General features: G+C 40.3%; 1 pseudogene; it reads right to left on the bottom strand.

The window, feature by feature from the left end:
• LOC100130088 (STN1, CST complex subunit pseudogene) lies at nucleotides 1,476–2,510 on the bottom strand (annotated as a pseudogene).

Below are 21,664 nucleotides of genomic sequence, written 5' to 3'. Positions count from 1 at the left end.
ATGATGGATTTGTGTTTAGAAATATGACCTTGGCTTCTATGTGGATAATTGATTTGATCCTGGGAGTCCCATCAGGGGACCACTGATAATCTGAGCTAAGGTGGCAGTAGTAAAGACAGAGAGAAAGGGATTGAGGATCATTAGGCAGGACTTTGAAATGATAGGATGTGAGCCATGAGGGGGAAAAAGGAGAGGAAGATGACCTCCAGGTTCTAGACTGTTCAATTGAATGAATGGTGAGCAATTGCCCGACCTCCTGCCTTGCCTGATAACTGGCACCACTGTACCCTGCTTGGCCTTATCCTGGACTGGCAGAGCAGTTTGTGATTGCAAAGACACCCAAACACTTCTGACTATAAATCAGTTGTTAGCCAAGAAAATTAAGTCATTATCTGCAATATATGAGAAAACAAAGAGGGGGCACGTGCACACACCCACACATACACTTACACACAAAGATGAAGACACAGAGACAGACAGGCAGACCAACTCATGAATGGGCAAACCTGCTTAGAGGGCTGGAGAATTTATGTAGAGTGGGGAACCTGATCCAAGTTTGTCAAACTAAGGAATTTTATTGCCTATAATTTTCTGTTTCTTTTTATTTATCTCTTTTTTTTTTCTGTGACATCTTCTTTCTTTCCTGGAGCTTTATTATCCTCAATCATTTCATATATTCTTTGTCTCCCCTGTTCTCCAAAATGAACTTTCTTTCTCCTCTGTCAAAACTTGCCTGCTCTGTGTTCTACTTCTTTAGTGTCAGGTCAGCCTTGTACAGCTAATCTCATACAGGATTTCAGGATTGAGTGGTTTAACTGATGATCCCTCAAAGATTTTTTTTTTTTTTTTTTTTTTTTTTTTTGCAGATAGAGTCTTGCTCTGTCGCCCAGGCTGAAGTACAATGGTGCGATCTCAGCTCACTTGCAATCTCCGCCCCAGGGTTCTAGCAGTTCTCCTACCTCAGCCTCCTGAGTAGCTGGGATTACAGGTGCCCGCCACCATGCCCGGCTAATTTTTTTGTATTTTTAGTACAGACGGGGTTTCACCATGTTGGCCAGGCTGGTCTTGAACTCCTGACCTCTGGTGATCCACCTGCCTCGGCCTCCTAAAGTGCTAGTATTATAGGCAAGAGCCACTGCGCCACGCCAAAGATTTTTTTTTTTTTCATTCTAAACAAATCTTTAAATGTTAGAGTGAATAATTGATGCCTGTCAAGCTTCGCCTCAGCAGAGGAAATGATATTGGTAGATGTTTTCCTGTTAGGTAAAGTTGATCAGGAGAGCTTTCCCATAAAAAGAAAGAAAGGAAAAGTTATTTATTTCCACCATCCACAAAATCAATAATACATTCTTCTTATAGAAAACTTAGCACGTAAGCTGGATGTTGTGGCACACACCGGTAGTCCCAGAGACTCCAGAGGCTGAGTCAGGATGATGGCTTGAGCCCAGGAGTTTTGGTGGTGGTGGTGTTTTGTCATATTTTATAAGTTTATAAGGAGGTAACTGCTTCCAGGCATATAAGCCCCACATGATGTTTAAAATCAGAGCCTGAGGTTGAATCCTACCTTGTCTTTCTCCTCCTTGGCTGGTATGCACGTGCTCAGGTGTCTGCTCAGAAGGCCAGGAGTAGAAGGCCACTGCTCAGGAGTAGTGGTGCTCCATTGTGCTGATGAGGTCACTCTGGTCCTCCAGGAGCTCCAGAACTTGCTGCAACATAGCCCTAACTAGAACCGGGCAGATGCTCAGGGTGAGCACAGGCCAAGATGTGCAGGAAGTGGCAGCCCTTCTTCGGGTGATTTGGTTTCTGGTAGTCTTCCTGAATTATCCAGTGGATTTTCCTATACAGGTCTTTGTCTTTTCTGGTTACACAGCATAGGTTATCAAAACCACCATCTTTCTGGAAAACGAGTCCTTTTTCCTGCAGCTGTTGAATAGCATTTTAAAATATGCTATAAATTGCCTTGAAAGTGATATCCTTCTTAAAATTTCCTTGTTCAGAGCAGGCACTGTCAGTAACAGGCTGGTTAGCAAGGGACAGCAAAGGCTCCACCATTTCCAACTCCTGCTGGTCAAAGTTCTGCACTCTGTTCTTTATGGGGAATTCTTTGGCTTTTTCACTCAGCAAACACATGAGACTAGTGAAGGCCAGGACACCTGGATTGCTTAGTGCTTCTTCTTTCTCTAAGTCTGGGCAATGGAAAGGCTTGGTCTAAACTTTCCTGTAGATTAATGGGCAGCTCAAACACCCTTGCAATTTGAATGTTCCACACTGGATCGTCCACTTTATAATAAGCAGTGGCATAAATTTGTCACTCTTCTCTGCACATGTAGACATAGCCTCTGATTCAGAACATGTCCCCAGTTTCAATTTTTGTTCTCTGCTCAATGGTGTCTTGCAGCTTCTTGAGTATTGAGGTAAAGCTCAGTTCTCTTGCTGCATTTGGAGCAGCGGATGAAAACTTGATATTGCTCAATATTTTCTAGCAGATGCAGTTTATAACTCCAGTGCTGATATAGTTTAGATATGTGTCCCTGCCCAAATATCATGTTGAATTGTAATCCCCAATGTAGGTGGGGCCTGGTAGGAGGTGTTTGGATTATGGGTGCAGATCCCTCATGGCTTGGTGCTGTCTTCATGATAGTGAGTTCTTGCAAGATCTGGTCATTTAAAAGTGTGACCCTTCCCCAGCCACTCTCTCTCCCTTGCTCCTGCTTTCATCCTGTGATACACCTGCTCCCCATTCACCTTCCACCAACTGTAAGCTTCCTGAGGGTTCCATCGAAGCCGAGCAGCTGCCAGCACCATGCTTCCTGCAAAACCTGCAGAACCATGAGCCAATTAAATCTCTTTTCTTTATAAATTACCCAGCCTCGGTTATTTATTTTTTATAGCAATGCCAGAACAGCCTAATACAAGTGCTATCATCTACTCTACAACTGTAGAAAACCTCTCTTTCTCTCACTCCAATGGCAGTTCCCAAGATACACCTGTTTTATTGGTTCCCATTGCACAAAAATACACCTGGCACCCGTCAGGACTCCTTCAAGAGCAGGATATAGACTTAATGTAGAGCTTTGCAAAGGCTAGGAACACGGGATTCAAACTCCACACAAGGGAAAGGGTCTTCTCTTCACACACTGGCTGAATTCAGTTTGCATCAAGAGGCTGGGCTGTGGCTTCCAGCAAATCCTGAAAGGTTCTGCATCACTGTGTCAAGGATGCTGAAACTGCTTTAAACGGGTGGGGTCCAGGGAGGAATGGGCACCTTCCTGGCCATGCATGTGTTGAAGCACAGTGGGTGGGTCTGCCTGGGCGACATAGCGAGACCTTTTCTCAAAAAAAAAATTAAAATTTTAAAAATACAAATTGAAAAAAACTTTCTATACTTTAAAATAAGCTGATATAATTTTTCTATATTTATTTCCTTTTCTGTTTCTCAGAATAATATTCATAGGTTGAAATAATATGGTTGTGCTCACATGATAACTGCAATTTTATATCTCTCTATTTTCCCTTGGTACTTTAAATAAGATTTCCCTTGTTATCACAGGCTCTTGAAGAATATATTTAATATATTTGTAGTATTATGTAGAAAGTCCTGTTGGGCTTAATTTAGTTTAAATTTCCACAACTGTTAGACAATTATTTTTATAGTTATTTCCAATTTTTCTTGATAAATAACACTGCAGTGAAAATCTTTAAAGAATAGGTTTTAATTGAATTTTTGCTAATACTGTCTGCTCAAAACAAAATTAATATTATCTGAGTCCCTGTTCTGAGATTTCCTCCAAGTCTTTACAAAGTCCTGTACAACAAACATTCTTCTTTCCTTTCTCTTCCTAGGGAAATGTTCCTTATCCTTCATGACCTAGCTCAAATCCAATCATTTGTGACACTTTCCTGGGTCATCTAAGACTTCCTAATAACTGCCTTCTGTGGGTTCACACAGAACTTTGGCTACAAATCACAGCATCGCATTGAGGTGACCTGGCTCAAAACTTACTTCCTTGGAGGGCCCCATGATGTCCCTGCCAAAGCTAGATCAGTCCCTTTGTTAAATGTTCTGGTGGTGGCTCTAGAATTATCCTTCACAGCATATATTATAATTATAGTTAAATGATGAATTGGGTAATTATTTCTTCATGCCTGCCTCCTTCATTGGAATATAAGCACACTGTTTCAATATTCTCATGCTCTGCCCTCAGAGCATTACAACTAGTTGGTGCTCAGGAAACGTCTATTCACTAAATGAATAGAAGGATGGATAAATGATCTTCCAAAAATATTTTAAACATAAAAAGCATCTAGAGAGGAATAAAATATGAAGAAAGAGTCCTCTTTACTCAGAGAAATGTTTCCATTTGCTCATAATCTACACCAGTTTTACAGTCAACATGCATTGTGGGATTATTATAAGCCAAGTGCTGTGCTAACCTTTTTTACTTGCTCTATTTCATTTAAAGATAATATTGGTCTTAGGAGACGCATACCACTAAGCCCTTCTCTTTATTTTGCGATGAAGAACTGGAGGCTCAGAGAGACTACGTAATTGCCTATGGTCACACAAATAGTAAGTGGTGGAGGTAGAATTTGTCTGACTTGAATTTAAGTTCTCAGCCATTGCCTTTAGTCTATTTGGGCTGCTATAACAAATGCTATAAACCACGTGGCTTATAAACAACGGAAATGTGTTTCTCACAGTTCTGGAGGCTGGATGTCAGAAATCATGGTGTCAGCATGGTCAGATTCTAGTGAGGAATATCTTCCAGATTGCAGATGACTGCCTTCTTGCATCTTCACATGGTGGAAAGAGAGCCAGGGAACTCTCTGGGGTCCCTTTTATAAGTGCACTAATCCCATTAATGAGGGCTCCACCTTGACAACCTAATTACCTTCCAAAGGCTCCACTTCCTAGCATCATCACATTGGGAGTTAGGATTTCAACATATGAATTTTAGAAAGACACAAGCATTCAGTTCACTGCAGCCACTATGTGATATCTTCTGGAATGTTCTGTCTTAACACTGAACCAGAATTTCTTTCTGGATAACCTCTCATTCAGTGCAGTTGGGTCTCTACAGCCATGGAGAACAGGCTAGGTTCTTTTCACCATAGCTGTCCTCAGTACACAAAGACTCATCCTCTGCCCAAAAAATCCCACTCCAGGTGTAATCATTCCCAATTCCTCCAGCCATTCCACTTGGGGCTAGAACGTTAAGTTTTCTGAACTTTGGCGCTTTTATTTTCACTTGAGTAATTTACCTTTCCCTTGGAGAATTAGTCAGTTCCTACATCTGAAAGAGGAAAGGGTGAATAGCAGCAAAAAGAATTTAAAAAAAAAAAAACCAACAACAAATGTGTTGTGATCTCTTCTTCACTGAAGAGAGGTGACATAGCACAATGATTGAGCCCATAAACTCTGGAGACAGACTGTTTAGGTTCAAATCCTGGCTCTACCACCTACTGGCCACATGAGCTTGAACAATTACATAAATTCTAAATCAGCTCAATTGAACTCCTGGACTGCTGAGTGCACCATGGCTAACAGAGATTGAGTAACCACCCTCCTGGCCATCTTCTTACAGCCAAGAAAGGCTTCTACCTCCTGACACCCTAGACATATTTGCTGAGCACTTCCTAGGCTCCTGCTGTTATAAGCATTTTGCCTGCAGGAACTCATTTTGTCCACACAGCAACCCTATGAAGTGGATCCTCTTATTATCCCCACTGCACAGATGTAGTAAAGGCCCCCCGGGAAATTGTCATGTCCAGGCTCCCTCAGCTGATAAGTGGAGGAGCAGGTAGTCTAGCTGCAGAGGCTGTGCTCCTAACCACTCTGTCCTGCTGCCTCAACTTTATAAACCCATCTTTAGGGACCTTCACAGTCTGCACGCTTGAACAATTCACCTCATATTCTTCCACTCTGAGCGATTTGACTCCTCTGACAAACTCTTATCTCCTGGACAGTCTTTGCCATCCTTGCCTGCCCTCTCTTACGAGGGTTATTAAAATTGGAGCATGGCTCATGGTGATTGATGGCCCAGAGGCTGATCATTCACTACCTCTCCTGGCTCATGGTAAATATTTACTTTTTGTTACAGAGGAACAATGAGGTTTCATACAGGAGATGGATGTTGAGTGTATATATGATATTATGCTTGTCTGACTCCTTTGAATACCCAACTCTCATTTCCCTGGCTTATTCCGGGAGGGGAGGAGGTGCCACAAGGTGAGCTGTTTGACTTTTCAGAGGGGGCTCAGGAGGTTTGCAAGCTGGATGGATTTCTTTTTTTCTTACTGAAGGGCTAGAAACATAGTCTCTCTCAGTAATTTAAGATCCAGCCAGGAGTCATCAGTAACACAAGTATCAACGGTTGCATTATTTACCTAATATTTTTCCTTAAACTGACTCACATTTTAAACACAGATACATAATTTAGCCTTGCCCTAAGCAATAATGTCCCTCAAGTCATGGATGTGATATGCTAATTTCACTAACACATATTGCTGTATGTATGTAACTGTTGAAATGTGAAATGCTTTTTCTTGTCCTTGTGAATGTGTCTCATTAGGACTAGGCAATGGGTGACTTGTGTGCCGCTCTCAGCCCTGGCACCTCCTCGCTCTGTAATTCTTTACAGGTCGCAGCTCTTTTCTGCACCTCCATCTCGCCATCTACAAAATGAGCAGGCTCTTAGCACTCCATCTTTCTAGTCTTTGTTTTCTCTTTCCAGCTCCAGGTAATGTTTATAACAGGAACATAAGAGTTCATATAGGCGGACAGGTTAATCTAAAAATTTTTCTCACTTACAGAAAGGCAGTTTCCAATCTTTACCTTGGAAGTAGGTTGGTAGTTCTTGTCATTCATCTATTATTGCTACTCAGAGAAATACATGAGGAGAGATGAAGCAACTGAAAGGTCCTGTAATATAGTTAGAATAGAGTCTGAGAGGTGGATGAAGGGGGGAAAGAGACAGAACAGGAGTGGGCAGCTATTGAATTGCAAATCCTGCTTTCTAAGGACATTCCCCAAACTTTCAGCTGATGTGTCTCCTGGTTTTCACCTCCTCTCTTGTCCTCTTCCTCTTTTTCAGCTCTTCTCCACCCTTTCTCTCTCTCTCTTCTGCCTTTGGACCTCCTTTCCCTTCCTCTCTCCTTTCCCTTCGTTTCACCACTAATTTTCTATTACATGTGGCAACATGAAAACATGTGTTTCTGTTTCTACAGACTCAGACAATAAGCCTGGTATTATTTTAGAAAATACAATTTCTGAGAAAAAATTAAATATATATATATATATATATATACACACACACGTATATATATACACGTATATATATGTATATATGTGTATACATATATACACACTCTCTTGAGCCAAATATATATATATATGTATATATATGTATATGTGTGTGTGTGTGTGTGTGTGTGTGTGTGTGTGTGTGTGTGTATATATATATATATATTTGGCTCGAGAGAACTTTGGCAAGAGGAAGGATGTTTTTGACCCTGGGTACTCCTGTCTCCTTCCCCCTGCCTGTCCTCTGCCTTCCCTCTGGTCCTCACAGCATGGGCTCTGGGGCGCCAGGGACAAAGCTTACCTGTTCTCTCTCCTGCTGCTATATCACAGCTGAAAGGACCTGAGATCATCTCAGCTAAGCCTCTTATTTTTCATGTGGGGCAACTGAGGTTCAGAGAGGAGAAGGACCTGCCTTGGCATACCATAGTTTAGTTTGGAGGCAGGGATGGGGCTAGAATCTCGATGTTGAGACTCCTGCACCTGGTTCTTGCTACTCTATGGCTTTTGCTAAGTGATTCCTGCCGTCCTGGATCACTCTGTCCTGACAGATCCTTGTTAGAACCACGTTTTCATACAACCTAATAACAACTGGTCATTCTCCTTCCAAGCACTCTCACTCTCGTATCTAGTTAATTCCTTCTTTACAGATTGTGGCTCATGCCTGCCTTTCCTTTTATTTTAAGTGCCATGAGGGCAGGGATAACTTTTTAAATCCCAGTTCCCATAGTAATAATAACAGTAAACACTTAGTTATTGTATTAGTTAGGCACCTATCTTGGGCCAGGCTGTGATCTGAACACTCCATGTGTTTAACTTATTAACAACCCCATAAGACAGGTGCTGTGGTTATCATCTTCATTTTACAAATAGGAAACTAATATGTGAAGAGGTTAATTAATTTGCCAAATTTTTCACACTGCTAAGTGGCAGAATGGGGGTTCGAACTCCCACAGCCTCATTCCAGAGGGCCTCCCTCCCCTCCACACTATACTGCCTGTCACACAGCAGATACTCAACAAATACATATTGATTCCGTGCTCTATTTTGACTGTGCTTTTCAGGGAATACCCTACATTCCAATGTGAGTAAAGACCTGATGTTTTGAAACTCTCAGGGAGCAGGAAGGAAATAAATTTATTTTGGAATCAGGGTTCTTAAGCTTTAGTGTGCTTGTGATTTTTTAGGATGCTCGTTAATGTAGATTCCTTGGCCCTGTCTGGGACCTTTTCTTACACAAATCTCTGGTAGTGGGTCCTGGGAATTTGAATTGTTAGCTGCCATCCAGGTGATGCCAGTGCAGGTAGCCTGGAGATGACAGTTTGGCAAACACTGCTTTAAAAGTCCTTCATTAAATATGTCAGTCTGAGCAGTGGTACGCCACTCACTGGAGATCTGAAACTGGTGCAACAACATCTATCTTTTCTGCTTCCCTTACCTAGGGAGTGGGTTTTAGCTCATTAAGTAACAGTTCATGAGACTTCTAGTGGGCTGGGGGCAAAACCAACAGGGGAAGCAGCATCTGTTAAATGACTGCTACTGAACCAGGAGCTACTTTGTGTTAGAGGGCATTGTTAGCCCTCATTTTGATGCCAGATGCTCAGCAGCCATGGGTGGCTTCTCCTCTCAGGAGCACTTCAGTATGGGGTCTGGTGGTGAGAGGGCTCACTGGTGTTTTGAGATCCATAAAGTGATTTCATTTGACCTAGGAGAGGAGACATCAGTGAGATAAGACAGGATGATAGGGACCTGCTCTTTCACATTTGGACACTATGGTTTTTGATGCACTGCCTTAGAACACAGAACTCTTCTCCTGGCTAAGGAGAGGCTCATGCCCAAGGAGGGAGAAAGCCATTGGAATAGGTGGCTTGTTACATGTTCACATGAGCGGTCCTGTTGTTTTACTTCTACAGATATTCTCTGCTCTCTGTGGATACCATTTACAGAAAACTTATAACTGCTCTCCTGTTTCTCCTATTTCTTGTAACAATTTCCTCATCCACTTACCTTCCTTCGCCTTGGCCATGAAGCACTTGCTGAGCACCTCCTTTGTCGTAGGCACTGTGTGAGGCACTGGGGACTTGGTGTCCACGACAAAGTGCTGCTCTCATGGAGTTTCCACTGCAGTGCAGGCTTAGAGTTCTTCCTGCTTCCTGTTACCCTGATTCCCAGTCTCTTCCCTGTAACTGCCAAATACTTCATTGTCTCATTCTTTTATTATCCAAGATAAACAAGCATGTATCCTACTCTCTAACTCAGACGTGTGTGTGTGTGTGTATGTAATATATAGGTACATACACATACCTGTATATAAACACATATGTACATATAAATACATGTATGCATATACACACCTACATATACATATATCTTTAGCAAGCAAATGTTGACTCTCAAAGGTCAGGGTCATCATTTTATTATTATCTCAACCAATATTTTTGGGTGCCTACTATGTGCTAGTCACTATGTGAGTGAAGCCAGACTCTGTTTTGAGGCTCAAGGAATCCCTTCCCAGTTCTTCTGAGGGGGGCTACATCCCTGCTTTTCAGAGCAGAAAGAAAGAGAAGGAACTTTCAGGCAGCTGTTTGTTTCTCTTTATTCGCGTCATTTATTAGAAAGAGTCATGGGACAAGAAAAGGTCCCATTGTGTTCACAACTAAAAAAACAGATTATTAACCCTACTGGAAAATCATGTTCTATGTATATGTAATTAACCTGTTTCCTGTTCAGAGGATCCTAAAACCCAACAAGACAAACCCCAGATACCATCTTGATACAGATGTGGATGCTTTTACCCCATCCTCGGAAGTCCCCAGCTATAAAACACTGCATTTTGTGAAATTTATTGGCAACAAATTAGCTTAGATTTATTGCAGATTATTGATTTCAGCATTCAAAGGTTAATGAAGTTTGTGTCTTCATTCAGCACTTCTGCTTTGGGGAGAATAATGAGATTGCCTGAAGACACAAACCATTCAATTAAAACAAACAGATGACGATAACGTGCATCTTGGCTGTATTCTGATACTTTTTTCCTCCCCCTTCTCTTTGCTTTTCTTTCTCAACATATTCTAATTTCTCAGTTGATTTTTATTTTCACATGTGAGGAGATGATTCAGGTGATCCCAGGCTGCACTGTTACAAATTATAGGTAATTTCTTCCTGGACCCTATGTAGGGAAAGGGAGTTCACCTACACAGTCTATCAAGGGTTCTTTCTTCTGATAACCTACAGACATCTCTGCGTCTCCATGATAGAAATGCAAACTGAGTAATGCTCAATTAGAAACCCTAGACCAACAGAAAGATGCAACTGCACTGTGATAAGTGGGAGGCTGGAGGAGATGGAAGAGGTATTGCATTTCCAGAGAGTGGCTAGCAACAGACTTTTGGCTGGGCTTAAGTAACTTCAAACAATTGTTTCTCTTTGACCGCTACAGATTTTCTGGCTTCATAATCTATTTATGAACAGTTTTGCTTCCGTTTTCATTATGTGTGCTAACACAGACTTTCTATAGAGCACAGACTTTACCAAGTTTATTAATTTAATTCTAGATAAAATGATAAAGCATCCCGAGAGCTTGGGGTCTGCGTTCTTCAAGGTCTTTGTGAAGAATGCCACAGCCTGGATTCATGAAGAATAGTTTCTCTCCTCTCTGTATCTGGCTCAAAGCCTTATTAAAACACAAGCCTGGCTCTCTAGTGAAGAGCCACCCTGGATGCCACTGGAAATTATTTTCTTAACAGTAACTTTATGTCTATCCAAAGACAAATTACATTTTTGCTCAGGCATTCCTTTAATAGCTTCTCTTAGGTTTAATTTTTACGGGGGCACAGATGGAAGACAAGTTACTGGACCAAGTTTATGTTTTAGTCATGGAGTGTTAAGGCTGAGAGGAAGCTTAAAGTTCATTTGGGGCCTCCCTCTTATTTTGCCATCGGGAAAATGAAGTGCAGAAGGGAAATCTCAAATCCAACACTGTGCAAAGCCAGCTCCCTGATTCTTCTGTCCACGAGAAAATGCAGGTGCTCTAGTGCTATGCTGATAAGAACCACCTTGAAAGCCCTGAGGCTGTCTTTACTCCTGGACTGATTCCTTGGAGGCCATAGATTATCCTGTATCTTTTTCCATTGCCTGTCAGCCACAAGCTGTTGCTGTAAAACCACTCAGAATGCATTTTGGTTGTGATGGGAGTGCACTAACTCAGTGAATTTCAGCTGAAATGTAATTCTTGAGAGCATATGCAATTAGCAAAGCTAAAATCTGGAAAATGTTGAAGACCCTGTGGAGTCTCTTAGAATCTCAGACCTTGAGTTAGAAGACATCCTAGAAGTAATCTAGCCTGGCTCACAATTTAGTGTACTTCAATCCTCTTTGTAATATAAACCCTTGGACACAAGTGAAGGTACTAAATCCAAGGCCTAAAGCACATTTCTTAAGTTTTTAATATTGGAGGACTTTCTGCAATGCTATTCCTTTCCCAAGATTTTTCATGCTATCTATCCCTGAAGTAGCATTCAGGAGCCAGGCTTGTTACTAATGGAGCTTACACAAATATAACATGGTCTCCAAAACTTTGCCCTCTTTGCATGAACATTAAGTAATGCCTTAAAGAAACTTTTGGTATGACCTCTTTGCTAGCCATGTGGCCATTCTTGTCAACCAGAGATTTCTGCATTTCTAATGGAACCCAAGAAAGAAAAGACCCAGAATGATATGACCCCCATGTCCTTGAAGAGACAGTTGAGAAATATGACAGTGATGGTACAATTTTCTAAAGCTAAATGCAGTGATGTTGGAAACTCTTAAAATAAGTATTTTGCATTGATGCTACAAACAGCTAAATCCCACAGGAGAGTATCATAGGTAATATTATGCATTGGAAGGGCATGCACGTCCAGCTAGTGGGAGTGCTGCTGGTGCAAAGCTCTCAGCTGTCAACCCCTCCAGGAATTGAAGAGATCCATCTTGTCCAAGGTTATGTCCACTTCTTGGGGATGAGGGTCATCCAATAACTAATTCATATGGGGTATAAAACCTTGGCCCTCTACCTCCAACCTGTACAACTCTGAAGAATCATGCCAGCACCAGAACTTCCTGTGGGGTCAACTGCGAATTTTACTGGGACTGCATCAGAGCCCAAATTTCTTGCTTTAAACAATCCTGCTTCCTTTCCTTCTCTTCCACAGGTGTTGACCCCAAGGAACCATCTTACTTAATCTTTTGCATACTGTCTTGTCAGCATCTGCTTTTCAGGAAACCCAACCTGCAACAGAGACAGCATCCTTTAGGATCACTATAGAATAGGCATCAGCAAATTCTGATAGGAATAATCTACTTCACTGCCTGCTTTTGTAAATAAAGTTTTATTGGAACACAGCCACATTTATTCATGTGTATACTGTCTATGGCTGCCTTCCTACCACAGAGATCATATGAGTGTGGTCCACAAAGTAAAAAATGTTTATTATCTTGACCCTTCGCAGAATTAGTTTACTGATCTATGCTACAGAATCCTGGGTAAAACAAATATCAGATGATAGAGAAATCTAGGACAAGAACCTCTCAGAACATTATGTATTCTAAATGGAATTTTAAGCATCTGTTTTACCAAATAATATTTGATCTGTTTCTCTCTAGTCATATTCACGTCCACACTTTTCTCTGACTCTTTACTGGGCTGATATGGAGAAAATGAAGGACATTAATTTCTGATCCTAAGTTTGGGTTTTGACATAATAAAATGGCTGGCTTTCTACTGTGCTTTACAGCTTACGAAAGCATTTTTGCATACTCATTCTCATTTATCTTGAGTTAGACAGGGCAGGGTTCACCAGTTTCCCTTGACTGATAAAGAAACTGAGGTTCAAAAAAGTTAAGTTATTGCCTATGATCGTGCAGTTGTTTTTAAAGCCTGGACGTTTTGTTTCATATTTTAGTTACTTTTCCATTTGTTATCAAAGTAATAAGCAGTGAGGAGGCTAAAGGTGATTTTCTGAAGGAGAAAAATTTATCTTTTCTCAATTCTTGTTTATATATTAATTCATCAAACATTTATTGTACAGCACTGACTCAGTCAATATGTTCAAAGATTGGTATCTTGAAAAGGTTCTACAGATGATTCTAATGCACTTCCATGGCTGGGGATTGCAGGGCCATGCTGTGATTGTTAATGTCTAAAGTTATTAGGTGGTGCAAAAGTAATTGTGGTTTTTGCAATTAAAAAAATGCAGAAACTGCAATTACTTTTGCACCAACCTAATAGTATGTTTGAGTAGGGCTTGCATTTATGAGGAGACACTTTTAACACCAGAGAATAATACCTTCTTGCTTTTCTTCTTTTGATTATCAATCCAAAAATCAATTATGAAGTGCCCTTCAGGTATCAGGCACTGTATGAGAAAATGGAGATAAATGATAAACTAAGAATGGTTCTCGCCTTATGGAGCTCCCAACCTATACGGAAGAGGGACTATTAAGCAAGTCATAACCATAAGAGGGTCAGGTACTGGATAGGGGCAGTAAAGGGTGCTTCTGATGGGCCTACCTGTCATAGGTGGGATCTGGGAGAGAACATTTAAATGCAAGCCAAAGTATGAGTAATAGTTACCCATGTGGAGAGGCAGAAGTGTGTGCTAGGTAGAGAGAATAGGATATTCAAAGGTTCAGGGATGAGAGAGAACATGATATAGTGGTAAAACTGACTGAATTTTATTCCAGCTGAAGTATAGAATGGAGGGGAAGATTGGTGAGAGATGAAGCTGAAGACACACAACAGATAGGTGCAGTTCCTGAGCTATTGCCTGCAAGCCACAGCAAAGAATTTTATCCTTATTCAAAGGGCATCAGGGAGACCTTTAAGGGGTTTAAATGGTAGAACAGCACTTATTTTTCCATAAGAAAAAAAAAACAGCTGTTAGCTAAGTCCAAGGTAGCTGTTTTCCACGGACAAGTCAATGAGACATAGAGACTGATTAAGGAAGCCAAGGTTAGAGTCACCATCTGTGTTTGCAAGCTAAAGTGGAGCTCTACACTTTCCAAGTGCAATGCATTTTCTTTCATGACCTCTAGACCATTTCAGTACCCGCAGTCAGAAACAATTCAAGCCCTGCCTGCTCTGCCATTGTCAGTCTCACTTTTGTAAACACCATAGACCTATTTTCAGTGGCTTTCCTCCTTTGTCTCAGAGACACAAGTGAAAGGGCATTCTGCTATCTAGGACTTCTCTCTGTTTATCAGCCTTTTGATTAAAGTCACTCGGAGGCCCTTTTCTTTGAACGAAAAAGATCTTCCTTGAAGGGGCAAGAGTGAGTCATTTCTGTTGAATTCATGTATTACTTAGGCAGAAAGCAATGTTCTACCGAAATTACACCTGATTACAGACCATCACACCACTGCCCAGGGAACCCATTCCTCCCTTGGTAATGGGCCTTAAGGTTGTCTGTCCTCAGAAAGCAACAGGCAGCTGAAGAGAAGGGCAGATTTATACTTGATGCCGAAAATCTCAGTTGAGTAGGTTCAACACCCTAAATTACTTATGAGCCTGCAGGCATGACTCAGGGAGAGGCTACAGATTGGGGAGTTCATCAGTGCCCTCCACTTTTCATCAAATGAAAGGGTAAAAAATTGTTTCTCATATTGGAGAGGTAACGTTTCTTTTCTGAGCTTTTACTTATTTTCCTTATTCTCCTTAGATCTTGCAAGACGAATATATAAATGATGGACAGGAAAGTTTTACATTATAAACCATCTAGTGAGATAATGTGAGATGAGAAAGCCTTAGGGAAGGTTTCGAAAGATCCTTAATTTCTATGTGTTTGACGATCTTCCTGTTGCCTTTCTGTTATTCATTTCCAGTTTGATTTCACTATGGTAGAGAACATACTCCGTATGATTTCAATTCCTTTATATTTGTTAATGTTTGTTTTGTGGCCCAGGATGTGGTCTATGTTGGTGATTGTTCCACAGTCACGTGAAAAGAATGTGTATTCTATTGTTGCTGAGTGGGATGATCTACATATGTCAAGTACATCTTGCCGGTTGATAGTGTTGTTGAATTCTTCTATATCATTGTTGATTTTCTAATACTTCTATTAATTGTTGAGAGTGGGATGTGTAAGTTCCCAGCTATAATTATGGATCTGTCTATTTTTCTCCAGTGCTTGTCAGTTTTTGCTTCACATTTTTTGCCTCTCTGTTGTTTGGTATATCCACAGTTAGGATTGCTGTCTTCTTAGTGGAATGACCTTTTAATTATTATGTAAGGTCCCTCTCTATCTCTTGTAATTTTCTATGCCTTTACGTCTACTTTGTCTTATATTAAAAGTCATCCCACCTTTTAAAAAAGTTGTTTGCACAATATATGTCTTTTTCACCCTTTTATTTTCAACCACCTATGTCATTATGTTTGAAGTAAGTTCCTTGTAGACAGTGTAATTAGGTCATGATTTTTTTGGCAATCTCTGCCTTTCAGTTGGTATATTTAGACCACTTACAGTTAAAGTAATTATTGGTATATTAGGGTGTCAGTCTGCCACTTTATTTATTTTCTGTTTGTTTTCTGTGTCTTTTTTCTCTGTTTATCTTTTCTTACTTTCCTGTGGATTATTTTACATAGTACTGAAAGCTCTGCCCAGTGGAATAAGGCAAGAAAAAGAAATAAATGGCATACAAACTGATAAGGAAGAAACAAAACTGACTTTGTTTGCAGATGACATAATTGTGATAAAGGCTGGAAGGGATGTAGAGAAACTGAATTACTCAATAATTGCTGGTAAGAATATAAAATGACATAGTACTATATTTTGATTTTAGTGTTAGTTACCAACGCTGCATATCAGAAAAAATTACATGAAACTATGCACACACATACATACACACAATGTGCATGTATCTGAATAAGGTCTGTGAATTATACCGACATCAATTACCTGGTTTTGTTATTATACTATAGTTATACAAGATGCTAACACTGAGGGGAGCTTTGTAAAAGGTACACTGGACCTTCCCGTACATTTCTTTGCAATTTCCTGTGAATCTATAATTAAAAATGTAAAAGTTAAATACCAAATATAATAAAAAGTTTAAAAGGTATTTAGCTATGAATACATAAATATTCACACTTGTGTGTGTGTGTGAAACTGCTCAGTTTGTTTTATTCTTCTCAGTTCCTTATCCTTATCAGACCAGTTGGGATGCAGATGGGTTCTGGGGTACCTAAAATGAGGGAAGATGATCCCTTTCAGACTCATCTAGAATCCATTTTTAAGGATATGGGGAGCAGAGAGAGATTAACTCCACCAGCTGAGCCGGTGGACTTGGGACAGCTCGTGGAAAGACTGTAGTTTAATGTGCTGCTTTCCAAATTTTAAGGTACATTAAAGGGGAGCTAAATGGACCCCACTCTGAGAGATTCTAATTCCAGTCTCTGTGGGGTATGTATCAATCTATGTTTTAAATAAACACCAGGTAATTCTGATGTCTGTGGTTCTCCAACCACACTTAAAACCCCATCCATGTAGTGGGTTAAAATCCTACGTCTGCTCTTATTTACTGAGTGAACTTGGGCAAGTTCTGAGCCTCATTTTTCTTATCTGTAAAATAAGAGTAATATCTTTGTAGGATCAGTACAAGCTGATAATCAAGAAATAGTTGTGATGTCATTGTTAGTATCATTATTTTCATAATCATTATCACCATTAATGATACTGGCATGCAGAGAGTCTGTCCTTAATAAAAATGTCTTCCTCAAGGATAATATGCTTGTAATATTGCATTAAGATGTATCTAATATGTTATTATTTAGCACTATCAGAGCTTTTGATAAAGTGAGTTTGATGACCTTGTAGATAAATGAGGAGGCTTCTCCAGGATGGTCACTGGGCAGTGGTGCTGGGGCCTTGAGAGTCCAGTTTTGCTGCCAGGAAAGGTCAGGGTTATGGGAAGGTGTTACTGCCTAAGGGCAAGTGAGACATGCATTCAGGTAGCTTTCCTGGTGACTGACAGGCAAGGAATCATGGCAGAGAAACTTCCTCTTGAGGGAAGTCTACAAAGGCCCCTAAAATTTGGAAGAACAGATTGGGAAAATGTCAGAGATAATGTCATTATGTCCTCTGTCACAATGGGAGTGTTTTCACATGTTCGCTTATTGAACGTTACTGAGGATTCACCGTACAAAAAGCAATGGGTGATATACTGGGGGCTGTGTCGGTAAAAATGCTGGCTTAGTATTAACCCCTCCCATGGAAAGGAGATCCCAGATACACTGCGGTTAAACTTTATGCCTTTTGCCCCTAGTCACCAAACACAAAGTAAATTCGCTTAGCTTTGGTCTCCTAGAACAATGGCAGCACAAAATAAGGTAAATTCACTTATGGAAGAGCAGAGAACGTTACACCTCTTGTACATATGAGTTGGTAGACTGAGATATGTACCTACTTCAGACACATTTCCTTCTGAGTTTCACAGCCATTCTCCAACCAAATTTAACGTAAGTTTTGACTAGCCCAAGGTTAACACACTTAGGCAGAGCCAACCTACCTCTCTAAGCCTCCCTGACCACCCAATCTAAAGGAGGTTTCCCCTTCCCAATATTCTCTCACCAAACCTTGCTCTTTTCTATACAGCCCTCACAAATTTTGGAATGATACTGCTCATTGCTGTTTAAATGTTTACTTCCTGTCTCCTCCACTATGCTATAAACCAGCAGAATGCCTGGAACATAGTAGGTGTCAATAAATATTTGTTTACTCAATAAATAAGGATTTGGCTTCAAAAATCTGTGCTTTTAGACACTATGTTATATCACATTACAGATTGTAATTTGATCTTCTTAACAATTCTTTGAGGTTAGGATCATTAATAAACCTCAGGTTTATTCACAGGTGATGAAACTGAGACCCGGATGGATTACGTTGCTTACCCATTTGCATCCTGCTATTAACAATTGTGTTGAGACTTTAACTCAGACCTCTGGACTTCAGGTGACATGTTTTGCCCATTGCACTAGAGATGAGTACCTCCTGTTTCTGATAGCACCAGAGACCCAGAAAATGCAGTTTCAGCTGAGTCAGCCCAGCCCAGGCTGCAGTGAGTGGGATTCTGTTCAGATCCCAGCTGGTTATACTGCTATCAATTTTGAAACAAGCCATAGTGCTCTCTCTAGCATTTCCAGAATGCCAACACAGCTTGTGATTTCAGGATACTTGTTCTACAACCAGAAACTCAGGTGATCAAGAGTCCAGGAAGCACACTGACATTCTGTCCTGTATGCATTCCATCCTGAACCTCATGCTGGGGTAAACTGTTAGTCCCAGGCTGGGTGACTACCCTTAGGAGTATGTAAAGATAATCACAACAAACTGCTAAAAGGCAAAGTTGCAGAGAATGAAAATAGTGTGAATTCCTCCTACTCTTGAATTAATGGGAAATGTTTTTTCTGTCTCAAAAAAAGAAAAGCAAAATAGAATGTCTTGTTCTCTGCAGTTGATAAAAAGTTTTCATTTAAAAGGTTAAGTAAAGCCACTTACATGCCCTTATGTCTTTCAAAAGAGCACACTGTTCCTTCAAAACTTGAGGAGATACCATTTTATATGTTTCCAGACAGAGCCAAGGCTGTGTGTCTTCTTTGTATCATTACTTTTAATAATTCTTTATTTTATTGTCATAGTTTATAAAGCCACATTCCAAGAGTGTCATTTGGGGTTCCACAGGATCTGAGCTGGTTCTTGCAAAGTGACAGGATGTGTAGCACTTCTCTGTTACAGTCTTCCTTTAGGAGGCAACTATACCACCACTGTGAGACCCACAAACTGTCTTCAGTATCTAGCCTACACCCAGTTCTAATAGCATCAGAGATACAAATTTTAATTTTTTAAAGAAAAAATTGCTAATCCTTCCAAAATTAAAAAATACAACCATAGCAACCAATGTTTTTAAAAATCTTAAACTTCTACAATTTTAAGAAATATTCCATGGTCTGAAATTTATATTCTTAAGGCCAGCAATTGACTGATTATGTGTTGTCATGATCAGAAAGAATGGTGATTAATCAGTTTTACCTTCTCAAAAAAGAAAAAAAAAAAAAACTCTTTCCTCCTCCTCACTGTGGAGAATCATGTTTTTAAAAGAATAAAGAAAATCTATGAGAGTTATATAAATGCAGAAAGTACTGTGGTGTCATGAAAAACATACTGCAAAGCTGAGCCATATGTCCATGCATCAGGAAGGGAGAGGTCTGCAGAATACTCAGAAAAATAACAATTACAGTCACAAAGGGTTAGATTCACAGTTAAGTTAGAGAGGCAGTCATGAACCTAGAAAAGATTTTTAAAAGGTTATGATAACGGTAACTAGGAGCAAAACAAAAGGTGAGTAAGGTTAGAGAGGTAAAGATGAAAGTCTTTAGAGGGCAGGCATGGGACGGCAGCATAGAATATCAGAGATGGTGGTTCAAAGATGAGCAAGTCAAAGAGCATTGCCATGGAATGTGGGAGCAAAGTACAAAGCCAAGTAGAATTGCTTTAGCAAACCAGAGAGAAAATGAAGAACTGGATCCTCTAAACATGTTTTGAAGAATGCAGGACCCACATTAGAGATCAGAGAATTTATGCCTTCTCATGGCGAGAGAAATGACTTCAATGCCAAGTCAGTCTGGGCCAGAAATCAGAAGGTCAAATATCAGAACTATACTAATTTCCTCTGTCTAGAAGATCCATCCCATATTTTTAACCTGTAAAAGTCCTATTCACTCACCAAAGTCTATCTCAACTTCACCCACTGAAGTCTTCCCAGAACCCACTGGTTAAACTCCTCTCACTGTTTTTCACACTGTATGTTTCCTATGACTGTAGTCTACCCTGTATTACAGTTAATTCTGTATCATTGATTTGCTTACAATTCTCCTTTCAGAGTTTTCCTCTATGTAGCAACGGCAACTCCTGGCGAAGGTTCAAGAGAAGGGTTAGAAAGCGTCACTGCCTGAGGTCAAGTGGGACACGCATTCAGGTAGCTTCCCAGTGATTGACAGGCAAGGAGACTTCCTCTTGGGGGAAGTCTGCAAAAGGCCCTCAGAATTTGGAAGAACAGACCAGGGAAATGTCAGAGATAATTTTATTATGTCCCATGTCACCAGAGGAGTGTTTTCATATATTCATTTATTGAACATTATTGAGGATTTATTGTATACTGGTTTATTTATGCGGGTTAAAGCCATAGCAAGGGGAGAAATGATAGGTAGTGTCCATATCCAAAACTCTAATGAAAATGAGAGCCAGGCTCGGTGGCTTATGCCTGTAATCCCAGCACTTTGGGAGGCCGAGGTGGGCGGATCACCAGAGGTCGGGAGTTTGAGACCAGCCTGAACAACATGGAGAAACCCCATCCTTACTAAAAATACAAAATCAGCCAGGCATGGTGGTGCATGCCTGTAATCCCAGCTACTCAGGAGGCTGAGGCAGAAGAATTGCTTGAACTCAGGAGGCAGAGGTTGTGGTGAGCCAAGATTGCACCATTGCACTCTAGCCTGGGCAACAAGAGTGAAACTCCGTCTCAAAAAAGAAAGAAAATGAGGCTTTTCCTATTATCCATAACTGAATCTATGACCCAAATTACCTTCTTCTCAGTCTCCATACTTTCAGACTCAATAAGAACACTGTGTATTGACAATAATCATAAAAACTTGTATTTTTTTCCATCAAAACGGCACTAAAGGGCATTCAACTATTGATCCCAGAGAGCAGTTATCAGCATATGCCCTAAAATTGCAGATGCAGTTCTAAGTGCTTCAGTGCTCCTCCCAATCCACAGCCTCAGGAACACCCCGAGCTGACATTTCTCTGAGTGACATGAAAAATAAACAAGTCAACCTCACCACTTCCACCAACTTAAAAATTTGCATGGAATCACCATAACATGTTATGATTTTGTTTTAAAAGGATTACTTCTGACAGGTTCCCCAATCTCAACTGAGTATCTTTGGCATGAAGAAGCCTTCAGCTTCAAGAATAGCTCTGTTCATATAATGCCTTTTAAAACATAAATCAATAGGTACTTTTTCACCTCAAACAAGATCATGAGAAAAATCAGTTTTCATTTCTAAGGGACACAGGGAATCATATATGTCTCTCCTGGGGAATTTAAGATGGATATTATACATTACCTTGATATAATTAGGCCCTATATTATGGTCCTCTTGTTTTGTCCTCTGGCATACAGGTTCTTTAATGCCATCAGCCTAACTTTGAAAACTCATAGCTTTTTTCTTATTATATTAAATATGTCATACTCTTGTTAACATTTTTTTTAAAAACTCTAAGGAAAAAAAGAATAAAATAAAACTCACCCATACTTTTACCTCACTGAGAT

The sequence above is a fragment of the Homo sapiens genome, chromosome 5, assembly GCF_000001405.40.
Source record: "Homo sapiens chromosome 5, GRCh38.p14 Primary Assembly".
Lineage (NCBI taxonomy): Eukaryota > Metazoa > Chordata > Mammalia > Primates > Hominidae > Homo > Homo sapiens.
The sequence above is the reverse complement of the archived record's forward strand: the minus strand, read 5'-3'. Positions and strand labels throughout refer to the sequence as shown.